General features: G+C 41.9%; 2 annotated features.

Annotated features, from left to right (window-relative positions):
- Positions 7568-8077: an enhancer, noted in NCBI's record as "H3K4me1 hESC enhancer chr5:5652475-5652984 (GRCh37/hg19 assembly coordinates)". NCBI's record gives its function as "activates a minimal SCP1, AML or CMV promoter by ChIP-STARR-seq in naive H9 embryonic stem cells {active_cell/tissue: H9 hESC(naive)}" and the evidence as "EXISTENCE:reporter gene assay evidence [ECO:0000049][PMID:30033119]".
- Positions 8078-8588: an enhancer, noted in NCBI's record as "H3K4me1 hESC enhancer chr5:5651964-5652474 (GRCh37/hg19 assembly coordinates)". NCBI's record gives its function as "activates a minimal SCP1, AML or CMV promoter by ChIP-STARR-seq in naive H9 embryonic stem cells {active_cell/tissue: H9 hESC(naive)}" and the evidence as "EXISTENCE:reporter gene assay evidence [ECO:0000049][PMID:30033119]".

The raw sequence follows: 24923 nt of genomic DNA, 5'->3' as shown, positions 1-24923 counted from the left end.
AAACTCTAAATATTAATGAGTTAAGCATACAGCTTAAAAAGTTAGAAAGTGAATCATTGCATAGACCCAAATAAAGTAAATGTAAGGAGATAATAAAGGGGACTGGAAATCAATTAAATAAATATTCAGTAGAGAAATAGAACCAAAACTTGGCACTTTGAAAAGGTTAATGCAATAGACAAATGTCTAGTAAAATTGATCAGGAGAATAAAAGGGCAAAATAAGCAATACTAGGAATGGAAGTAGACGTGACTGCAGATAAAGCAAAAGTGAAAATATGACACGAATAACGTTTTGCTAGTCAATCTGAAAACTTAAACAAAATGAAGACATTCTAGAAAATATAACTTAGCAAAACTGAATCTACAGAAAATTGTGAATAACATTAGAACTAGCAAATATTTTGAGGCATCAGTTAAAAATCTTCCTACAGAGAAAAATACCAAGCTGTCATGGTTTTATAGGACACTTATACCAAAGTTTTAACCTTATACAAATTCTCCCAGTGCATAGGAAGGAAAAATATTCCAAACCTTTCTATGAGATCAGTATGCCTCGATACTCAAGCCAAACAAAAATAGCACATGAAAGAAAAGCAAACAACAAAAGGAAAAAAATATTACAGGTCAGACTCACTCCTGAACACTGTTTCAATATCCTTTAAATAAAATATTGGCAAACTGAATCCAACAGTGTATATAAAAAATGGTAATCCCAGTGTCTACATTGCACTTATTGCAGGAATAGAAATAGGATTTAATATTAGAAAGTCTATACACGTTATTCTCAGCATTAACAGGTTAAAGGACAAAAGCCCAACGATTTTCTCAATAAATTGTAGAAACCACTCTGTTTTCTCATAAGAGCTATGCAAAGAAATTCACCTTTTTAAATACATATTTTTAAGGTTCTGTTAGATTTAAAATATAAACAACTGCTGTGGGAATAGGGGTAAGGATCATTTGCACTCCTTTTGTGTTGATGTTATCGATTTACAAGATTTTAATAAAAGCAATGCCTAGTGCAAAGAAGATAATTAATACTAATTGATTCCCTGTCTTGGAGATACACGTGCTCTGTGTATGGGTGCTGGAGAGCCCAGGGCCAAGCCTGAAGTGGTCCATGCAGTCCTGTACCCCTGCACCCATCCCTTCCCTGCACCCACCCAGTCACTGAGTCCCTGGCACCTGCACCCCATTGCCCTGTGCATATTCTCATGTCCTGCACTCTCTGCATATCAGCCCTGCCTCTGACAGCATGACCCTTGGCACCTGCCAGTAGCTGAAATAAATGAAATCTCAGCTCCCTATACAGTTTCTTCTGCCTCTCTTGCATCCATAATGAGGATGGTCACCAAGCAACCAAAGGCCCTCAGCTGTGCCTTTCTGTCCCAGGACGGATGGGGGAAACCCTACCTCCCTGGCTCCAGGGTATCACTTCAGAGAGTCTCCCAGCCCTCCTGAATCACAGAATTGGTTTCTCTGCAGAACTACCCACAATGGAATGTCACCAGCCACAGCCTATGTACAGTTTATTGGATAAGACCACAACCAGGGCAGAAATAATCAATATCTACTTATTGTTAGGCTGATAGATAAAATTAAGGGTAATGACTAAGAGAATAGAAAGGCATAGCTACAATAATACTATGATAATACTACCAAAGAATAGAAAGGCATAGCTACAATAATACTAACAAAAAAGCATTACCCATCAAGCACAATGGTTTTTCTTGCCAAGAAGGCTGGGAAATGATAGTTCAGCAAGATTGCTATATAAAATATAAACATATAAAAATCAGTTGCATTTTTGCTTTTGCCAGTAATAACCAATTACAAAATGAAATAGAGAAATTACATTCACAACTACTAAAACCATAGCATGTCTATGACATAATCTAGCTGATAGCGTGCCAGGCTTCCCTGGGTTCGGGAGAGGCTGCCTTCCCAACAACACTGTGATTCAGAGGCACTGGCAGGATCTCAGATCTCTCAAGTATTTCTGGAATTGGTGACGGGATATTACATGTGTTCAGAACTCAGACAGGACAGCAAGACTAAGCCACTCCATGCCTGCTCAGGGTTTTGCTTTTGCTTTTGTTTTCTTCCTTAGCTTCATGTTGAGCTTCAGTCTTTTTCTTCTGGTCACCTGCACAGAGCTCTTCTGCTCCTATCTTCTCCTCTGACGTTCTTGAAGCTTCTGGGTCAAAGCTACAGGGTGTCTTCTACAGGGAATGGGAGGGAAATTGTTTCTTTTAGCATTCTCCTCAGCTAGCTAGCAATATCAAGACAAGCAATAAAGAGACTTTTTTTTTTTTTGTAGAGCTGCCCTTTTCACTGGTGGAACAGAAGAGCATTTTACACTGTCAAACAGAATACACAATATTAGCACCTGAATATCCAAAATGAAACTCAAGTGTAAAATTGCCCTTTCTAATGAAGGAGTCATCAGTTTATGAAATGACAGCGGGACTCCTTTGCAAACATTTATTTTGAGATCTCTAAATAGAGCAAGATATTAAAAGCCAAATATTCCAAACTGCTCTTGTTCAAGTATTATTCAAGTTCAATAAAGAATTACGGTGAAACAAAAAGTTAGTTACAATAAGAAGGAACACGACTCTCTAGGGTTTGGTTTGGTTTTGTTTTTCCTCATTTTCATTTCATCGGCATGAGTCTAAAATACCAGACTTTCTGCTTCAAAGTAGAGGTACCTGATAATGCAGTCGGATGATTTTATTTTTACTTTCATCATCAGCCATGTCCTCCACAGGGTTCAAACGAAGCGAATTGGTTTTAGCTGCATCAGAAGAAAAAAATCAGGTGACAGATTCTGATGCAGGACAGGTAAGCCCCCACACTGAGGCATAGCCCAGGAAGGTTCTTGGCTTCACCAGGGAAAGGAATTCAAGGGTGAGCCGGTGACATTAGACAGCAATCTTATTGAATGGCACTGCTCCTCGCACAGCAGGGCTAACACATAGTCACTATTCCCACAGTCAGCAGTGTATGGGCTCTTGGCAACTGTATTTATACCCACTTATACCCATTTTCAACTACATGCAATTTAAGGGTGGGGTTATTGCAAATTGAGGGGTGGGTTATTTAGAATTAGCTAGGAAAAGAACAGTAACTTCCTGGTCGTTGCCATGGCACCTGTAAACTGTCATGGTGCTGATATGAGTGTCCTATGCTAATGAACAATGAGGGCTACTAGGGATAGCTTTCATTGCTACCTGCTTATTTCTGCTGGTTTTTTCACTTTATCCCATAGGGACCAGGAAATTAGTCTTACCAGTCTCTTACCTCAACACCAGAGTTCTCAAAATGATCTAACCTCTGTGACTATAGTGCCCTGGCATTGGGTTGAGCCAATTAGATTAATCTGGAAGTGTTAGATTAACTCTCTTTTCTCTTGGGAAGAGCTCCCACTCACAGGCTCCTCAGGTCCTCCTGCAAATGGCCTCTTTACAAGTTCTCAGGGGAGGATGAAATATCTTCACCGTAAATTTTGTCAGCCCTCTTCTGAGCCAGTGTTGTCAGAAACCCAGGTAGGCTGATCAGATGGCCATGATCTTAGATGCCATCAAAATCCACTAAGAAGAGCATGGCAGCATGATCTATTTTTATTCTATCCTTGCTGTCTCTTGAGTCTTCTAACTAAAATAAATACTTTTAGAGGCTGTAATACTAGGTTCTGTATAACATTTACTGGCAATGCAAACATAAATAAGACACAGGAATTTGTCTCATATTCATCATATAGAAAAAATAAGATGCCTAGATTGCAATACTATGTTACAACAGAGGCATGTTCCAGAAACACGAGGGCCCTGCAACAAAGGGCTTTGGCTACGTGAGAGACCTGCGGGGCACTCAGGAAAGATAAGTAGTTGGGAAAAGAGAGAATGATCTTCTAGGCGGGGTGTCCACACATTCATTCACTCAGTTAGTCATCATCCCTTCAAAACACGTATTAAGAGCCAGGCACTGTTCTGGGTACTGGGAATGAGGGTGTGTGGACAGGAAAGGGCTAGGGCTTTGGCTCCTAGACCGATGCCTCATAGGTGTTTCCACCTCACAGTATCTTCTGCTGATCTATTGGTTCTTCCACAAGGATAGAAACCCTCCAAAGGACACAGTAGCCAACTTAAAGGGGGTCTTGCTGGCCAACCCTGGGACATTTCGTCAAAATAAATACTACTAGTTACAGATTGTAGCCCTTTGGATAAAATAGAAATCCATCAGTCTATAGCTTCTAGGCAGATGGAATAGCAATGCAAAACCAAAGACTAGAATGAGTTTGATGTGTCTGAGAAAAACTTAGAGAAAAAAGTACTATATCTGACGAAAAAAGCAAAGGTCAGGATCACCAATATATCAAGACTTCACCCAGGTCTCTAGAAAGAAAGCAGGATAATCCCCCCAAAATATAAATAAAAATAGGTCATCACAGAGGAGAAAATAAAACAGGAAGATGAAACATAAAAGGATGTTCAGTAAAAATAGTAACAGAAACAATCAAATCAAAGCAAATTTTTACAAACAAATTAGCATTTGGGGTTCTATTTTAATTAAATAGTTATTTTGACATCAGAAGCTTTTTAGATAATTTCAACTTTTTAGAGGCTGAAAGGTACATATGCAGGTTTTTTGAGGTTGAAAGGTACATATGAAAGGTACATATGCAGGTTTGTTACAGGAGTACATTGCATGATGTTGAGGTTTGGGGTATGGATCCTATCACCCAGGTGGTGAACAAAGTACCCAATAGGTAGTTCAACCCACAACCCCTTCCATCTCTCCCACCTCTAGCATTTTCCAGGGTCTCTTTTTTCCACCATTATATCCATGAGCACTCAATGTTCAGCTCCCACATATAAGTGAGAATGTGTGGTATTTGGTTTTCTGTTCCTGCATTAATTCACTTAGGATTCTGTCTTCCAGCTACATCCATGTTGCTGCAAGGGACGTGTTTTCATTTTTTTATGGTTGCATAGTATTCCATGGTGTATATGTACCAATTTTCTTTATCCAATCCACCATTCATAGACACCTAGGTTGACTCCATGTCTTTGCTATTGTGATGAACACACAAGTGCATGGGTCTTTTTGGTAGAAAGATTTATCTGAGAAGGAGGGCATATACCCAGTAATGGGATGTGTCCTTTTGGTACAACGATTTATCTGAGGGGGAGGGCATACACCCAGTAATGGGATTGCTGCATTGAATGGTAGTTCTGTTTTTAGAAATCTTTGAGAAATCTTCAAACCGCTTTCCACAGTAGCTGAATTAATTTCCACTCCCACTGACAGTGTATAAGCATTCCTTTTTTCCTGCAGCCTCACCAGCATCTGTTATTATTTGGCTTTTCAATAATAGCCATTCTGACTGGTGCTAGACGCTATCATTGTAGTTTTGATTTGCATTTCCCTGATGATTAGTGGTGACGAGCATTTTTCATACGTTTCTTGGCCACTTGTAAGTCTCCTTTTGAGAACATGAAAACCTAAAAAAACCAATAACAAGTCCTGAAATGGAATCAGTAATAATAAATTAAAAAACCCTACCAAATAAGAAAAGCCCTGAACCAGAAGAATTCACAGCTGAATTCTAGCAATGTACTGAAACTATTCCAAAAACTCAAGGAGGAGGGGTTCCTCCCTAAATCATTCTATGAAGCCAGCATCAGCCTGATACCAAAGTCTGGCAGAGACACAACAAGAAAAGAAAACTTCAGGCCAATAATCCTGATAAACATAGATGCAAAAATCCTCAACAAAAGACTAACAAACCGAATCCAGCAGTATGTCAAAAAGTTAATACACTATGATCAAGTAGGCTTTATTTCTGGGGGAAAAGCTGGTTTGACATATGCAAAGTAATAAATGTGATTCACCACATAAACAGAATTAAAAGCAAAAAACACATGATCATCTCGATAGATCCAGAAAAATCCAATATTCCTTCATGAGAAAAACCCTCAACAAACTAGGCATCAAAGGAATATATCTCAAAACAATAAGAGCCATCTCGCAAAAACCCACAGCCAATATCATACTGAATAGGCGAAAGCTAGAACCATTGCCCTTGAGAACTGGGACAATAAAAGGATGGCCACTCTCGCCACCTCCTATCAGTGTAGCACTGGAAGTCCTAGGCAGAGCAATCAACCAACAGAAAAAATTAAAGTCAGCCAAATAGAAAAAAAAGAAGTCAAATGATCTGTCTTCACTGATGATATTTTATAAATGGAAGTATTAATATATTAAGAATATATGATGAACTTCCAGATACCTTGTGCTTGAACTGTGCCACATTTGCAGAGAGAAAGAGAGAGGCAGAGGCAAGGGCAGGGAGAAAGGGAATTTACAAATATTATACTATTATTGGCAAGAATTTTAATGAATTGAAAGACAGAACTGTCAAAAGACTGAAAATGCATTGTTAAATACTTTATGAAATATAAATTATTAAAATTGTTTGTCAATTTGGGAATATTTATCAAATTTTCAGATACAAATACACATCCTTCAGCAATTCCACATCTAGGATTCTATCCTAAAACAATGCTCACAAATCATCCCCAATATCAAATGTACCAAGATTTCATTACACTAATGTGCTAACAGCCAAAGTCTGGAGACAACCTGAATGCTCTCCAGGAATCTGCTGGTTAAAATCCACGATGATACCAACATCATCATGAGATACCCCTTCACACTCACTAGAATATTTTTAAAACAATGAAAGATAATATGTGTTAGCAAAGATGGGGAGAAATTGGCCAGGCATGGTGGCTCACGCCTGTAATCCTAGCACTTTGGAAGGCCAAGGCAGGTGGATACCCTGAGGTCAGGAATTTGAGACCAGCCTGGCCAACATGGCAAACCGCATCTCTACTAAAAATACAAAAATTAGCCGGATGCAGTAGCAGGCACCTATAATCCCAGCTACTTGGGAGGCTGAGGCAGGAGAATCGCTTGAACCTGGGAGGCGGAGGTTTCAGTGAGCTGAGATTGCAGCATTGCACTCCAGCCTGGGTGACAGAGCAAGACTCTGTCTCAAAAGAAGAATAAAAGAAAAAAAAAAAAAAGAAGGAGAAATCGGAACCCTCAGACATTTCTGGTAGGATGGTAAAACAGTGCATATAGAGTTGGCAAGTGATCCAGTAATCCCACCCCTAGGCATATACCCCTAAAGAAGTGAAAACAAGTACTCAAACAAATACTGCTACCCAAATGTTCATAGCAACATGATGCACCGTAGCTCAAAGGTGAAGATAACCTAAATGTGCATCAGCTGATGAATGGATCAACACAAAGTGGTATATCCTTTATGTCATAATACATTTTGCCTCCCTCGAAGACACTCCTATGTTAAAGTCCTACTCCCCAGTACCTTGGCATGTGACCTTATGTGGAAATAGGGTATTTGCAGATGTCATTAATTAAATGAGATCATGCCAGAGGAGCATGAGTTTCTAATGCAATATGACTGGCGCTCTTACAACAAGAGAAACCTGGAGACAGACGCACACACAGGGAGAGCGTCGTGTGGAGACCCACCTTGTGCTGCCACAGGCCGCTTCCAGCAGACCCCGAAGCTGGAGGGAGGCTTGGGATGGAATCCTCAGAAGAAACCCACCCTGCTGGCACCTTGATATGGGGCTTCTGGCCTCCAGAACCATGAGTCAATAGATTTCTGTTGTCTAAGACACCAGTTTCTGGCAGCTCCAGAAAACACGCAAAATACACGTACAACAGACCAGTATCCCGTCATAAGGCAAATGAAGTACTGATACATGCAACGGTAATGACCTCGAAAACATCAGCACTCTCCAGCTTTTTTGGCACCCGGGACTGGTTTCGTGGAAGACAATGTTTCCGTGGGCTGGGGTGCGAGGTGTGCTGTAGGGATAAAACTGTTCTACCTCAGATCATCAGGCATTAGTTAGATTCTCATAAGGAACACACAACCCAGATCCCTCACATGCACAGTTCGCGCTCCCAGGAGAACCTAAGGCTGCGGCTGAGCTGATGGGAGGGCGGAGCTCAGGCTCTAATGCTGGCTCACCACTGCCCACATCCTGCTGTGCGGCCGGGTTTCTAAACGGCCTCAGACCGGTACCATTGGCGGCCCAGGGGTTGTGGACCCCTGTAAACATTATGCTGAGTGAAAGAAGCCAGACACAAAAGGTCACGTATATTATGATTCCATTTGTATGAAAGAAATATCCAGAGGAGGCTAATCCTTAGAGAACGAAAACAGATTGGTGGTGGCTATAGCTACGGGGAATGGGAAGTAACTATTTAATGGATGTGAGACTTTCTATCGGGAGAGTGTGAAAGACACTACGATGAAATCACTTTTCTCACATCCAGGCAAAATCAGGCCAGGAAGGCAGGAGGGAGGGGCTCACGCTTGCGTGTCTGGGATCAGAACTGTTTCCAAGCACGTTCTAATACACCACAAGAAAGCATCTCGCGTCCTTCACACATCTCCTGCGGTGTATGGCTTGCACGTTTTACACACATAGACATATTATCACTAGACATTCTTGAGGACTGCAGTCACTCAGATAAGATGCTCTCAAAAGAACACGTGCCCAGGAAGGGCAACTCCACCCATGAACCAAAAGTGACTCTGGCTTTGGGCCTCCGGAATGAACTGTGTTCCAAAGCAGCTTGGCAGAACTTTTCCTTTTTGCCAATAAAAGCTCCCCTTTCTGGATCACGAGGTCAGGAGATCAAGACCATCCTGGCTAACACGATGAAACCCCATCTCTACTAAAAAAATAGAAAAAATTAGCCAGGCGTGGTGGTGAGCACCTTTAGTCCCAGCACTTTGGGAGGCCGAGGCGGGTGGATCACGAGGTCAGGAGATCGAGACCATCCTGGCTAACACGGTGAAACCCCGTCTCTACTAAAAATAGAAAAAATTAGCTGGGCATGGTAGCGGGCGCCTGTAGTCCCAGCTACTCAGGAGGCTGAGGCAGGAGAATGGCGTGAACCCGGGAGGCGGAGCTTGCAGTGAGCCGAGATAGCGCCACTGCACTCCATCCTGGGCAACACAGCCAGACTCTGTCTCAAAAAATAAATTAAAAAAAAAAAAATCTCCTCTTTCCCTTTCTGCCACTAGCGCACTTGTCACTTGCCACTATGTGCATCCTGAATTATGAACCTCTTTCCTCATTCCCAGATAAATTCCACATATTTGGAGACATTTCTTTCTAATATCTTTTTTGTTATATTGATAGGGGATGAAAATGTGTTGAAACTAGGCAGAGGGGTGGGTGATGCAATATTGTGAAGGTACTAAATACCGCTGAATTGTTCACTTTAAAATGGCTAATTTTGTGTTATGTGAATTCAATCTAAAAAAAAAAAAAGACTCACATTATAAGAGCCTCCCAATTTCCTAAAGTAGTGGCCAGTTAGATAAGAGAATGGAATGTCTGGATGTATACATATGGAGAATACACAGCCTGCTTTCAAGATCAGCTTAAACCAACTGCATGGTGTGATACCGTTTATAAAGGATGCATGTTTGTGTGTGCGTGCGTACATGTACACATATTTACTTAAAACATCTATATATGAGCAAACACACCAGACTTTTAAGAAGTCGTTACCTTGGAAAATGGCCAACAGGAATATTAGAGGAATACAGAGGGGACTTCCCCATTTTATCTGTTTGATGTCTGTGATGTTTTTTACATCATATTTTATTGTGGTTTTAAAACTAATTTTAAAAATTAAAAACTCAAAATCCAAAACCTAAACAGCAGCATTTGACATTAAAAATGTAATTCACCTATAGTATACATAAAAACATGTATAATTTTCGGTAAATATTGCTTACCATGTGGAATGGGCCTAATTCTCTTGCTCCCCCTTGTCTGTCAGTAGCAAATAGAGAACATTCTCAGCATTGAGAACAGTTCCTCCTCCGTATACCACAACTACCATGTGACCTTCTATTGCATGCCAGGAATGTATCTGTGTTTATTTGCATCACTCTCGCCCTAGGCATTTAGATACCTGAGGGCAGCATCCATTCCTTATTCACGGTTGTATTTTCAGGTTTGGTACAGAGCCTGATATCTATCACAAGCCCGGCAGCATACACAAAATAAACAGGCAAATGCATAAGTAAGTGGATAACATTTCTTAAAAGTGAACAGTATAGAGTTAGAGTTGACCAGCTGTGACTCTCCAGTTTAATATGCTTACAATACAATATGCCAATTTCTAAATTGCTACCAAACGGAGTAAATTTATATGTTATAGTATTTTTAAGAGTCACAGCTGTCATTCTAAATAAAACTGGAACCTGTAAGTATTGTCCATAGAACTTTGTAGCAGAACTTGATTACTCCTGCAGGAGAGGCTTTTAAAAGAATCTTGAGTCAGCACCCCCTATCATCCTATTATTCAAAATATGCCTTTTATTATTGCTTTGGTAAACAAATGAACAGCACATAAACAAGCATCTGAAAAGTCGAGGTCTGCATTTACCACTGGCCACAGCAGAGCTGGTGCCTGACAACTCTTGCCTGCAGCGGCCAAGTCCTTATCCTCACTGCGGTGGCTTCTTCGTGATGCCCCAGGAAAGCTCTGCCCCTAGAGATTAGAGGCTGCCAGGCACTCTGGAGCCCTGTCTGAGAGAAGGAATGTGATGTGAACTGCTCCTTTCATTTGGCCCTTTTTCTCTCCAGCAGCCAACAACGTGAGCCATACTCTAGGGCTGACAAAGAAGCCACAGTGAAGCACTTCTGTTTCCCAGAGTTCATTGTCCAACAGAAATAAAGCTCTTAATCTCTGCCGAACCAGGTGATGCCAAGGGAGGTGACTATTAGGACCTCTGGCCAAATTCAGCAGTAGAGGCCGCCAGTCACAGCTGGGGCACCAGGGGTTTTCATGGAGCCCTCCTCTGGCTTGGCAATGGCCTGGGTACTGAATGCATCCTTGTGCCACATTCAGTATTGGGTTTATCGTTCTCATTTTACAGACGGAGAGACGGAGCCTAACAGAGTCCATGTAACTTTCCCAAAGTCATCTATGTAATCAGCAGTCCATGGAACTGAAACCCTGAGCCCAAGAGCTCTGAACACCATGTATTATCTTCCTGCTACTTGGTGTTGAGCCCAATAGGGTGCCAGATACCTTTTCACGAACTGTTGTTTGCTGGGAACCACTCTAGCTCTTTCTAGAACTTTCTGGTCTGCCATAATTGCTTTCTGTGTGAATAATAATACTAATCATGGCTTATCGATCCCTCCCTACGTGTGTGACCCATTGTGAGGTGGGAAGCATTAATGATAGGGGGTGGAGCAATCTATAATGAAGAAAGAGAGAAACAATATTCAGTTAATGAGTAGAAATGAAAGAAGTTAATAAACTAGGACTAAACTGCTTAAGTCAGCTAGATCTTGAGATGAGAGACAAAAACGGGGAGAAAAGACTCATTTACGAACAAGACTGAGTGTGGACACGAAGATAGCAGGAGTGTAATTAAATGGAAATAAAGGTCTGAGATAAAGCTGACCTCTGCATTTTCCACTCCCAAAAGTCCCATCAGCGGGACTTGGGGCAGAGTGGCTGTAATGAGATATCACACACACAGCATGGAGGGAAGCGGTGATGGTGGGCAGGCCGTGCGTGGTGTCATTGACTCTGCCCAGACAAGGTCAAGGAGGCACTCTAGAGCCCTTTGCACCCAAGATAATGAGTGATGGCAGAACAAGGAAACACGAAGCTTCTGTGTGCTGGGAGAGCCCTGGGTACTGCAACCTCGGGCTTATTCTGCTGAGGCTGCTCCATGCCTGGCCTGAGTTTTGAGCCCTGCAAATCATCAGCACCTACCGTGCCCCACCCTGCTGCGCAGGTCTCTCAGGTCAGGAGCCCTGGACTTGAAGGAGAGGCTACTCATGTTCTGGGGGCTTTGAAAGAGCAATAGCCCTAGTGAGCCACTGCCTGGCCACCACTCAGCTCAGAGGGCCTGGGTGGGAAAGTAGGGCATCTCCAGGCGTGTGACCTCAGACTACAATGTCATTACACCCTTTACAGATGAGGAAGCCCAGGGAGGTTAACTCCACCCATGTCACAAGAAAGGAAATGGCAGCGCCAGGAACCACAGTTTGTGCTCTTAATACCCAGGTGGTAATAGTAACAGCAACAACAACAGGCAATATCACCATGGCTTACTCCGTGCCAGGCACTGTTCTGAGTACCCTCCCGTGTTACCGCACTTCACAGCAAGCGTCTGCAGTGAGCCTTGTGGTTATTAGCACTCACAACCATGTCATAGACCCGAGACCTGAGGCATAGAGGAATTGGCCTGCCTGGGGTCCACACAGGTAGTGGTCAAGCCAGCATCTGAGCCCCAGAAGGGTGACTCCAGAACCCATGCCCTTGACCACCATGCCTGCTGCGCCTCATCGGCGAGGCAGAAAAGTGGCTGTTACAAGGCATTTCCTTGGCTTTTGTTGTTCAGATAGGGTTCCTGACCCACTAAACCCTTCCATCCACACATAAGGGTCTTCAGAGAGTGAAGCTCATCTCCACCCAGCAGGAGAAACAGAGGCTCAGGAACATGAAATTGTTTGAGCAAGATCACCTCACCAGTCTGCCAGCAGCACTGGGCCTTAGACCCACACATTCTGATTTCAGATCCTGAGTACTTTCTGTCATCATTTTGTCTAATTTTTAATTTCAGGTGCAATGTGTGTCCCACGTGCCCAAGGGCTGTGGCAGAGACCAGCAGGAGTCCTGGGCCATGTAATTCCTACCTTGAGCCATGCAGAGTCTAATGTAGCACAGAGACTGAGCTTGGCCAAAAGCTAAGTATGCAGTTGCAGAAAGGCACAAGAGAGTCTATCGAGTCCATAAATGGGACACCGAGAGCTGACTGGTTGCGAGGAGGTCAAGAAAAGCTCATCAGAAAGGAATAATCCTTGGCTCAATCCTGGAGGATGAATAGATATTGGCCAGGGAATAAAGAAAGGGAAGTGTATGTCAAATAGAACAATACCCTTACTCAAAAGCATGGATAAGAGAGAACACCGGAGGATGCAGAGAAGGTGATGAGCATGAGTTCAGTAGAAGGATTAGGCTGGGTGAATGAGGGGAGGAAGAAGAGGCATGGTCAGTCCATTCTTAGAGCATTTGTAGAGTATGTTAAGAAATCCGAACTTGATAGGTAGGCTATATTGAAGAATTTCAAAGAATGGTGTAGGGTGGTCTAGGGAAAGTTGGTATGAATAAGAATAAAGACTTCAGGTGAGCTAAGAGGTTGTTGTAACAATGCAGGCAAGTAAGGGACAACTTTGCCAGAACTAAATTGAGAGATGGATGAATTGGAGAGATGTGAAGAAGGTGTGTGCAATGGTTAATTTTACGTTCAACTTGACTGAGCCATGGCTCCCCAGATATTCGTTCAAACTTTGTCCTGCGTGTTTCTGTAAGGGTGTTTTTGGATAAGATTAGCACTTAAATTAATAGAGTCAGGAGGATCATCCTCTATAATATGAGTGGCCCTTATCCAATTAGTCTAAGGTCTGAATAGAATAAAAGTTTGATCCTTTCCCAAGTAGGAGAGAAATCTTCCTGTCTACCAGATTTAGGATTCAAACTGAGACATCAATTCTGCAAACTTTGGACTTGTCAACCTCCATAATCATGTGAGCCAATTCCTTATAATAGATCCTATTGGTCTGATTCCCTGTAAAACCCTGAGAAAACAGTGCAATTGACAGACGGAGATTTGGTTTCTCGTGAGATGGTGGGAAGACGAAGGGAGGGTGGAGGTGGTTCTGATGGTTTGGATACTGTTCAGGCAACTGAGCTGACAGCCAGCTTGGTCGTTCTTTGTGATGGGCAGCTTGAGAAGAGGAGGACATGGGTACCAAGTGAAAGATGATTTCAACTTTGTCAGGAAGCTTGCAACTGCTGAATGTCCTCACATGCTTCCTTTACTTGTAGGGCCCCAGAAATTTGCTAGGTGACTGCAATGATATCAGACAGTATATTTGGTTAAAGCACAAAATTATTTGTTCCATATACAGGCTGTTATTTGGCTCCATGTGGAAAAACACTTTCTCCTGGGCTACCAGATAAACCTATCCACAGTCAATACAAGATAGAAAACAAGAAGCAAGATTTACAGCCTAGGACAAATCTATTTATTCCACAGGGAAATGCCCCTAATCAAAATGACTCAATAAAATGAGTTTCAAAGAGCTGCCCTGAGGCCTTCCTTAGAGAAAAGCTTTGGCACCAGAAGACAGAACCTTCCAGCTCTGCCAGGAAGGCAGGTATCGATGGCTTTGTGAGTCACTTTCTGGCCCACAAAGTCTACCCAGCGAGGTCTTCTGTTACTGCGGGGCAGGCAGCCCTGCCACAGGCATCCTGACCCTTCAGTTTACAATGATCCTTGGGTTCACCTCCTGCCCCTGGCAGAAGGAATCCTCAATACAAAGGAAGCATTTGAAAATCCCCTTGCACCTGTTTGGTCCTCTCGCTCACAACCCTGGCATGATCACGCCACCTGGATTGGGTCAGGACAGAGGTCATTCACAATGGTGCCCTTTGCCTTCCTCTTCCCCCAAAATCTTCAACGTCATTCTCAGCTCCGTTAGCAGGAAAGAAGCCTTCTCTTCCTCTGCTGGTCAACCTCTGTCCTCTCCACACCTCTATTTAGGTATAGCATCTTTGGGATGTTCAGTGAGGAGTACCCTCTTATTCCTTCTCACCACAGGTGCCCATCTGGCCTGTCCCTCAGGGCGACTGCACTTCTGCATAGGACTTACAATAGCAATTGCCTGGGCAGGGCAGAGAGTCAGCTCGGGGGCTACTCCTGTCTGTGCTCCCACCCACTGCAGTTGACACGCTCTCTTATCAAGATAGAAAAGATGTTCTCACTTCATTGGCCCCACATCTCCACTGACTGCCCAGCTCTCAGCCAAAGGCCTGCAAGTCATTATCAACATTTGCTTGGTAACCTTGCCCAGTCTTAAATTAGAGGGCCTGTGGGTATAAACAGCTGTTGGTAGGAATTTGACTGATTATCTTCTTATCTCATAGAGTCAATGAATTATAATCTCACCATCTCTGCACCCTGCTTTCCTTTTTGCCAGGAATGATCTTACAGCAAATTACTCATAATCTGCTTTAATTATTTGTAAAATAGGAGAAATAAATTATAACATGGAGAACACATAGGGAATGATTTCTTCCTCCTTCTAAGAGTTCATTAGATGTTTAGTTTCTGCCTTTTAAGAAAGATTTCCTTATCCAATAAAGATATTAACATAATCTCATTACATTTATTGCTCCCAAGGATAAACTAACAGGGGAAGAAAACCTCTCTAGCAGATGCCCAGTGATAGAAGCTCCTGCCAAGAAAAGAAACATAAATATTTTCATCACTTTTCCAGGGGCAGGAGCCATTCTGAAAGGCGGGTAGCCATTCTCCCCATAGTCAAATATTGGAAGAATTTTTGGTGGCTATTTGTTGACGGTTTTTACTGTGATCTCTCAATTTTCTATAGAGTCTCCTCAAAGCATCTTTAAAAAATCAATCTCTGTGACTAAGACTATAGTTTGTGTTGGCAGGGAGGGGCTGCCTCTCACTTTGTACCTGATTCAAAAAGGAAAGTCTGGTACTCAACCCTAGGAGCTTCTCATCTGTATTCCAAAAGGTCAAAATGTCACATGGCCAGGGAGTTAGGAGACAGCCCTGCATGCCACAATAGAAGCATGGGCTGTCTTTGCACAAACGAGGCAGAGTCCCGTATTCTGTCCCCAGCTGTATCCCCAAAGAGCATTGTGACTTTGAGATACAAAAGATGCCAAGTGACTGACATCATGTCTGCCATCTGGAATCGTGGGGTAACAATATTTGTCACCTACACTCCTCCTGGGGATTTGGGGAGGAATTAACAAGGCAGTGTTTATGTGAGAAGTTTCTTCCATGGCTTAGGACTGTGCTACTTAAAATAGAAGAGCCGAGCACTGCTGCCAAATGTTTGCAGGCGCCCATTCCCCATTCTTGCCCTGTCTGCTCTGTTTTCCAGCCCTAACAGATGAGCCATGGTGCTCATCTCTTGGAACCTAGGGGGAGCTGAGCCCATTTTTATCCATCTTAATGGGAAGCCATTTGCATAAGATCGAGCGTGGTTTGCCTGAAGAAAAACAGTACCAGGATGCAGCAAATAACTCTCCAAAAGGGTTGTGTTCTGGAAAAAGGCTGATTGGGCTTGGTCTTCCCTGTCATGTGCTTGTCCCATGCTCTACACCAAAACTAAGGGCAATAAGAACAGAGAGAAGCAGAAGAGGACTTTAGCCCACACAGTCCCCTCGATGTTCACAGGCGATCATAATAAGCACAAAATCTAGGTAAAAACATTACGCTCACAGCTTCACAAGGTCTCTTATCCTCTCTCCTACCCTTCCACCAAGACAAGCCTCTATTATACAGAAAATCTGGAGGTGCCACAAGGAAAGGAGTTGATTATTAGACTATCCAGCTGTTTGGGAGTTTGCGGGGAGGAAGATATGTCAATGCGGGGAGGAAGTAATTAATATGGTTAATTACTAGAAAACTCCTTCCCTATGGAAAGGGTGACTCCGAGTGGGTCAGGAGGCTGGGATAGCAGAGCGGGAATGAGTGTATCCTCATCATCCAGAAGGGGCCACGTGTCATCCACATTCTGTTCTCTGTCCTCAGTGCCACACAGTCTGTCACCTTTGGAGAGAAGGAGCATTAGAAAGAAACCCTGGGGAGGTGCCATATCAACTCTGTGCCCTGATTTTTCCAACTGGAGCACATATTCACACCTCCACCCACAGAAAAGACAATTTACAAGTCAGTAGCTCCTGCTGAGGGAAACCACACAAAACTCTGGGCACAGAAAGCCAGATGATAATATGCTCATTCTCTCTGGTCTTATGCCATATCTAATAATACTGGTGTCTAATTACTGAGAGCATTCTCAAGGTTATGTGCCATGTAGATGTGCATGAGACAATGTGAAAATTAATTAAATTAAAGTTCACATTGTCTCATGCACATCTCATAGAGACCCAGACAGGTGAAGAAATGTGCACAAAGATGTATAGTTTTTGTGAGCCAGGGTTTTGGATTCTAAAAACCAAATAAACCCTTCCATATTTCCTTTAGGCCAATGAGGTGTCACTCAGATGAAATTGTTCCCTATGAGATCAAAAACTATAGTTCCTTTCTCCATCTTAAGGTTTTGTTCTCTGTCCGTTTCCACATTGGCTTTGAATGTTTGCACTTTATATTTCTGGTTCTTGAATCAACCTCTTGTTTTTATAATCAAGCCTGGAGATTGCTCTACCACTCTCTGAGGTCATATTTCCACCAAAGTTGCTAAGCTCATGTTTCCTTATGAGTGCTGGGCTGTTCCGTGTTTATTAACATTATTTTCTCCCTCAGGAAGAACTTCATGATGATCTCTACTCATTTAATTTAGACGCTGACTTCCTATTACTTAATCAAAATCAGTTCCCAGCTTGACTATTCCTTTCAGCTTAGTTATTTGGGGGTCCTAAGATTTATTTTCCTTTCACATTATTTACTCATATAATTCACCCTTTCCATTCTTCTGCATTTCTTTCTCTACTTCCAGGCTTCCATCTGTGATCAGCATTCTTCTCTATGAAGAATTTCCTTTAGAATTTTCTTTAGCCTGTTGTCCCAGCTACTCAAGAGGCTGAAGTGGGAGGATCACTTGAGCCCAGGAGTTTGAGGTCGAGGCTGCAGTGAGCCATGTTGCACCACTGCACTCCAGCCTGGGCAACAGAGCGAGACCTCAACTCAAAGGGATGTCTTTTAGGGAGGATCTTCTGGTAATTATTTCTCTTCATTTTTGCTTTTCTGAACATATATTTATTTTGCTTTGTTGTTGAAGGGTGTGATCACTTGGTCTATAAATCTAGATTAGGAATAATCTTCTTTAATCTATTTAAAGGTAAAGTTGTTATTCCATTATTTCTTGCTTCAATTATCCCTGTTAAAAATCAGCTTTACTGTTGCGCTTTTGAAAGTAACGTTTTTTGTTTTTTTTTCTTTTTTCCCCCTTTGGTTGTTTGTTATATGCTATATTTTTTCTTTTTTTTTTTCGATGATGTTATATCTAGATGTTTGTTTTGATTGTTTTTTTTTTCTATTGGTATAGTTAGAGACAATCTCTCTCCCTCTCTCTTTCTCTTTCCTTTTTTTTTTTTTTAAACTGGGAGGAGGCATTGGTTTATCTCATTATTTTTTCTTGTTTTTTTTTGTGTGTGTGTTTTTGTGCAGATAATTGAATCTGTTGATTAATGTGTTACATCAGCTTTAGAAAAATTTTTGCCTGGATCTTTTCAGATAATGCTTCTCTGCCCTATTCATGGCCTGCTCTTCTTCGGGGAATCTCAATTATATATTTGATAAACATTTTTACTATGTTCACTTCTCCTATGCTCTCTTCTTTATTTTGTAAGCTTTTTTCTCTCTTTTACTCAGTCATTTTTAAATGCTTGTTGTTGTTGTTCTTGTTGTTGTTGGTACCAGATCAGAGATAACAGCTGAATGCAGACGTGCATGCAGTGTTTAGATGTAATTCAAGCACACACTCTTCTGTTGGTATAGTCAGATGCTATCTATCATCTGTCTGTCTGTCTATCTATTTATTTCTTGCTACAGGGAGGCGTGGTGCTGCTAATGTTGTAGTGCTTCTCTTGTGTTTCTGTAAGACCTTGATTTCACCTCTTGCTTTCCTTTTTTCTTCGCAATCAGGTCTGAATTCTGTCCCCTTACTTCTTTGAAAGTAGTTTTCGGTATTTTCCCACCCAGGGTGGGCTTTCTTTCCTAGACTTCCTCTCTCCTCCCTGCTTTCCTACACACCCTCACCGGATTGCTTCTTCAAGGATGAGCTCAAGTTCATGTCCTGAATCTGGCTGTGTACATGAAGCACAGAGTATTCCTACCTCCTAATTATACTATAGATGTGTATTATGGGTAACGGTATTTGCTCTTCTAGTTTAACTGTATCATTTTGTCAGAAAATGCGTAAGGAGATTTGAATTTCAATGGCCACCAACATTCTATGGACTTTCTTCAACCAAGTACTCAAGGTGGCTATTAGAAATTATTTTGAATGGAAATATTCCTACCTTATTTGCACATAAGTGTTCTTATGACGGATTGCCGTTTTCATTGTTCTGATTATAATTATAATCTCAAGAGAACATACATGTTACTCCTTCCAAACTCCGTACTCAGGACAAGTCACTGGTCGACAACACTTCTGTTTTATGTGTCTTTGTCTCAGATGCCACTTTCCTTGTATAACCCAGTAGCTCACACCCTGGCATGGACACTAATCTCAGTGTACTGAAAAGCTTTTTTAAGTGCCAAGTCTAGGAATTTATTTCCAGAGATTCTGAATCAGGGAGGCTATTGGAGAACCCAGACTGTCTGCATTTCTAATGGGCATCCCACATGATCCTGACACAGGTGCCACTGGGACTGCTTTTCCAAAATTGCTGACATAGACTTGTGTCTTGGGCCCATCCTCAGGGAAGGAGGATGCCAGCTATGAGGGATTTGTGTTAGGACTGTAGAATGACCTCATGGCAGTCAGGAGTCAGGGCACCCAACAGACAGGAGGGCTAGGTACATCAAACAGGAGAGCTCTGACTTCTAAGAAGCTGATCAAAGTAACGCAGACCCCAAGTTCTTGAAGGACTAAAATCCTGGGAGGGCCATTTGTAAACACTTTTATAATATATCACCTCTTCTTCTCATGTCAGAGCCAGGTATAATGACCATAACAGATGAAGGCATTGACGCAGGAGAAACAACAGGAGGCAGATTACTAGACTGGAGACTCAAGATTCTAACAGTATTACATCAAGTCTAATAAAATTATTCTGATGAAGAGGACCAACCTCAAAGTCAGAGATGTCCCTGAGCCCCAGGTCAAAAGAGGTTTCTTCTGTGTCTAGTGGACAGAGGAAAGACCTGAGGAGGACATAATATTAGTTTCCTCTCCATTCCATGGGAATTTTAACCCATTTTGTTTGCAAAGGGATAACTTCATTTATGACCTCCTGAGATTGTTATTAAGCTCTAATATCTTAATGATTGCAAATGTTCACCTGGTGGTAGGAAGTGCCAGAAAAAAAAGAAAATGGATCAGTCATGCTGAGAGGTAAAGGCCTTTGAGTAAAACTTCCCTTCCTTGAAAACAAAAACAAAAACAAAAACAAAAAACAGTAAGATCCTGTCTTTCTTCTGTTCCAAAGACATGAAACCTATGTTGGTCAAGCAGCTATTCCAAGTTCCCAAATCCACACACTGTTTCTTGCTCTTGAACATGAGCCAACACTATCAAGGGAGCACGTCTGAAGCTCCTTGTGCATGCTCACCTTCTGTTGGTATACACACTGACTTCACTCACCCTTCGGACACTGCCAAGCATTGTGTAAGGAAGACCAAGGCCTTTGTTTTTAGACCTGGGATAGAATGGTTTAGCAATTTTGTGATGGTTCCTAAAACCAATTTTTCAATTGCTTTGAAAAGTCAATGCTACTATCTAGGACAAAAATTACAAAATGTATCTTCATTAGCAGTTGATGGAACGCTCTTCAGCTTTTTCTGTTGATGTTTAATGTGAAGTGTGCCTGCAGAATCAGCAAGGATCCTTTTAAAGAGAGAACAAAGAATGATGCTCACAGTACTTGAGCAAGTTTGAGTAGCTGCTCATGAACTTCTGTTTATCCATTTATTTTACCAAGAAATTATATTTTACATATCTCTTAGACTATGGGAACAGTTTTTATTTTAAACTGAAGTTTCCAGGCCCGGCGCGGTGGCTCACGCCTGTAATCCCAGCACTTTGGGAGGCCACCACGAGGTCAGGAGATCGAGACCATCCTGGCTAACACGGTGAAACCCCGTCTCTACTAAAAATACAAAAAATTAGCCGGGCGTGGTGGTGGGCACTAGGTGGTAGTCCCAGCTAGTCAGGAGGCTGAGGCAGGAGAATGGTGTGAACCTGGGAGGGAGCTAGCAAGTGACCCAAGATCGCTCCACTGCACTCTAGCCTGGGTGACAGAGCGAGAATCCGTCTAAAAAAAAAAAAAAAAAAAAAAGAACTGAAGTTTCCAAAGCTCCATGCACAACTTTGGAATCACTTCAATTAGCTTTCATTAAATTACAGCGTCAACTTTGGTCTCTTCTTTGTCTCTGCCAAGAAATGGTTATTTCTGGGATTTGATTCACTTTCTTTATGAAGGGGCCTTTCTCTAAAAATGAGGGCCAAAGGCCTAGAGCATTGGGAACATATCAACTATATTTAATTGCAATACTGTTACTGTTATAGCATGGTGATCGAATTTTAAAAAGCAGAGTTATTCATAATGTAAAACTTTCAGCACAGTTTAAATATTTCAGTAAGTGAATTCCTGTTTGTGTCATTATAAGGTTGTATTTTCTCTTTTTGATCTTCTAAATAGAGATAAAGGCATTGTGACCCAGAAAGAACAAGAAATTTGACTTCAAACTGTAGAGTTGCATTTATAATGCTTTTTCTTCTAGTCTTTGGATAAACCTACTCACATCATTGATTCTTGGAGGACATAACAGCTCTGAATATTTTTCACTGCTCCATGGCCGAACTTGGTCCCAATTTCAGCTATAAAAAGCTGACAGCAAGCACTATTTGTATGTGATTAACTAGTAATTTTAGCAATGCTGCTTTTCGTTACTATTCAAGGTGCTGTAATTAATACCATTCCAGTATATCAGTTTTAACTCATATTTCCCTCCAAGAAAAAACTTGGCAGCCAAGGTAAGGGCATAAAAATAAGCAAAGGGATAGGTTATTTTTAGAATACCAAGGAGTTTGTGAAGTACATTCCAAAACGATTATGTAAAATACACGGCAGCAGTCATGACCACCAGATCCTGTGCTCGGGAGATGTATCCTGAGTGCTTGAACTCAGAGGCCACAGCCAGTGAAAATAACCCAGGACAACAGAGCAAAGGCTGAACTTATCTCCCAGGGACACAATCTTCACAGATAAGCATGGAGGAGCTCCCTGAAAGGCCATGATTACCAGTAAATGCGGCCTGTGTAGTAAGCAGGAGCATGCCAATTAAGTAATAAGTAATTTACTGTGTCATTTATATTGTGTTAGATGGAGGAATTGGAGCATGGAGAGGTAGAATGAATTACTAAAGGATATACAGGGAGAGAAGTGGTAGGATGGGATGGACAACCCTAAAAGGATCCTTGGCACATGGTAGGCACTGGGAGACTCGAATTGAATGATCAGATGGAAATGAATTGGGAAAGGTCTGGAAAGACTTGCTCGGCTTGGATGCTTTCTGGAATCCAGCAAGAGGCCACCCTTAATGAATCGGTCGGGGGTAAGGGTAGGTTCTAAGGACAGCTCAGGGTCCAGTGGAGTCCAGATGCTATTTAGAGGGACCCCAAATCCAGGCACAATACAAAATCCATACCACCTTCAAGGTAAGTATCCCCTTGGGTTCTTGCCAACATCGATTTCTAGTCCTTTAAATATGAAAAAACTAAAACCAAGCTTAGGAATGAAGCAGAAAGAGAGAGAGAAGGAGAGAGAGAAAGAAAGAAAGAGAGGGAATTATCCATCTGGCCCTTAGCCTCACTCTAGCCAGCTACATGAGGTATTGCTGTATACCTGGCTGTCATTCTCAAGTAACCTATATGTCCTAAATATGGCATATGCTAAAATGGAGAAAAAATAAGAAAGCAAGGCATTTTAATTTATTAAACCTAAGTCCTCTTTTCTTCTTGAAAATGTCTTTAATAAACATTTTTTAATAAAAATTGAGATTTTAAAATCCTTTAAGCACTCTTAAGATGTAGACATTTCTTTCTATCCATGGCAAAATATGGCTCACCTACAGAACAGCTCAGCTTCATGTTTCTCTCGGCCAGATGGATTTTATGAAGCATCTGTGGGTAATTCTGTTAGTAGATATCCACCCCTCCATCTGGATAAAGCTTCATTATTACCAAATCTAGTTACACAATGATATAGAGACAAGGAGGAAAGGCGGGAAAAAGGGATATTTTATATCAAACATTTTGAATTTCATTCTTTTTTCAGCAATGATATGTTTAGGTGAGCAAATAAAACTAGATTAAAACCAGGTGGCCAAAGTGAAAAAGATTCTTGAAACTAAACATGAAATTATTTCTTCTTTCAAAGAATAAGATGTTATCTTTGAAGTGCATGAAGCATTTGGCTAAAATTTTCACATCTTACATGTCTGTCCAGATTTCATACCGCCCTTTACTGAAAAGCAGGCTAGAAGGTATTTATTTTAAATATGAGCATAAGTTTTATCTTCTTGTTATTTTTTCTAAATCAAGTATAAGTCCCTAAACTTCTAAATCATGTCTATCCATGTAAAAAGTTTTCTTTACATGCACACACACACACACACACACACACACACACATCATTTATTACATTTAATCAACCTTGGTAGCATTGACATTTGGGGCTGGATAATTCTCTGTTATGTGGGCTGTCCCAGGCATCATAGTATGTCTGTCAGCACCCCTGATGTCTACCCACTAGATACCAGTAGCTCCCTCCAGTTATGACAACCAAAAATGTCTCCAAACATTGCTAAATGCCCACGGTTAGCAAAATCGACCTTAGTGAAGAGCCCTTGCTCTAAATCAATGTCCCTAATAAGAGATCCTTTGGATTTGAGAATTAAAATAATACTAAGTTCCCCAACTGACTGAGCAAATGCCCTAGGGACCAAGGGGAACCCAGAGAAACCTTGAAGACGGAGTTCCTGGCCATGACGGGAGGAGAGGTTAGATACGCCTCCTTACACCCCATCCCTTCTGTGGTTTAGACAAAACTGACCAGCATTAATGTTAAAATAGAGATCATAAGACTAGCGGAATAAACTCTTTTGTGGCAATAATATATCAAACTATACACAAGACCCAAGGCCATGCCAGGCAAGGGTTAAGTCACGCACCCCTACACTTAGAGAATAAACTATGTTCTAACTGCACAAGGTTTCTTTTCTCTAGCAGCTAAACAAGAATCTGTTCTGCATGAAGCTCCTGCCCCAACCCCTCCTCCTTCAAAGTGCCTTCCTTCTGGGCTCTGCCAGAGGCTACAATTCTCAGCCTCTCCGAATGGTGACCTTGCAGGCTGCAGCCCTTTATAAGAAGTGAAATCACCTATCCTAATGTATGAAGACGGTGGTTTTTCAGTTGACAGATTGAAGCTCTCATTCCGCTCTGGGGAAAGCTGAAGGCCACAGCCTGTGTCCCGTGTCCTCAGCTAGTGGCAGAAGCCTCTATCCATTATTGGGCTTTCTGGTTCATGAACTCATCAACTGTATTATTACCGTAACAATTCAGGACCTGGTTCCTCACCTGTTTCCCCTCCCTCCCCATTCTCAAAAATAAAACTCCAAAAGTCAGTATTTTATGAGAAGAAATTAAAAATCAATAAAGTAGCCATACTTGAATTGATGTGATAAGCAGTGTCATTCACAAAGTGCCCTCTACGATGACTCGGGCACAGTGTGGGGGCCTCACATTTATTTATATATGGTGTCTTTAATCCCCACAGCTCTGCCTTGCGTGTTGTATTGTCCCCAAATGGTAAAGAGAGAAACTGAGGTTCAGAAAGGGGAATAACTGACTCCAAACAGCACAGATCACAATGGTCTAAGCCAGAATTTGAAGTCACTCTCAGGTGTCAAAGCCCCTGCCTTTTGCTGAGCATCATATCATGGCCATTGAGCTCCATGACTTTCTCCAAGCCCTCAGTCATGGTCGCTGGAGGTTTATAGGAAACACAGGTACTTCAGCATGGCCCTCAGCTTTA

Source organism: Homo sapiens, chromosome 5, assembly GCF_000001405.40.
Source record: "Homo sapiens chromosome 5, GRCh38.p14 Primary Assembly".
In the NCBI taxonomy this organism is placed as follows: Eukaryota; Metazoa; Chordata; class Mammalia; order Primates; family Hominidae; genus Homo; species Homo sapiens.
The sequence above is the reverse complement of the archived record's forward strand: the minus strand, read 5'-3'. Positions and strand labels throughout refer to the sequence as shown.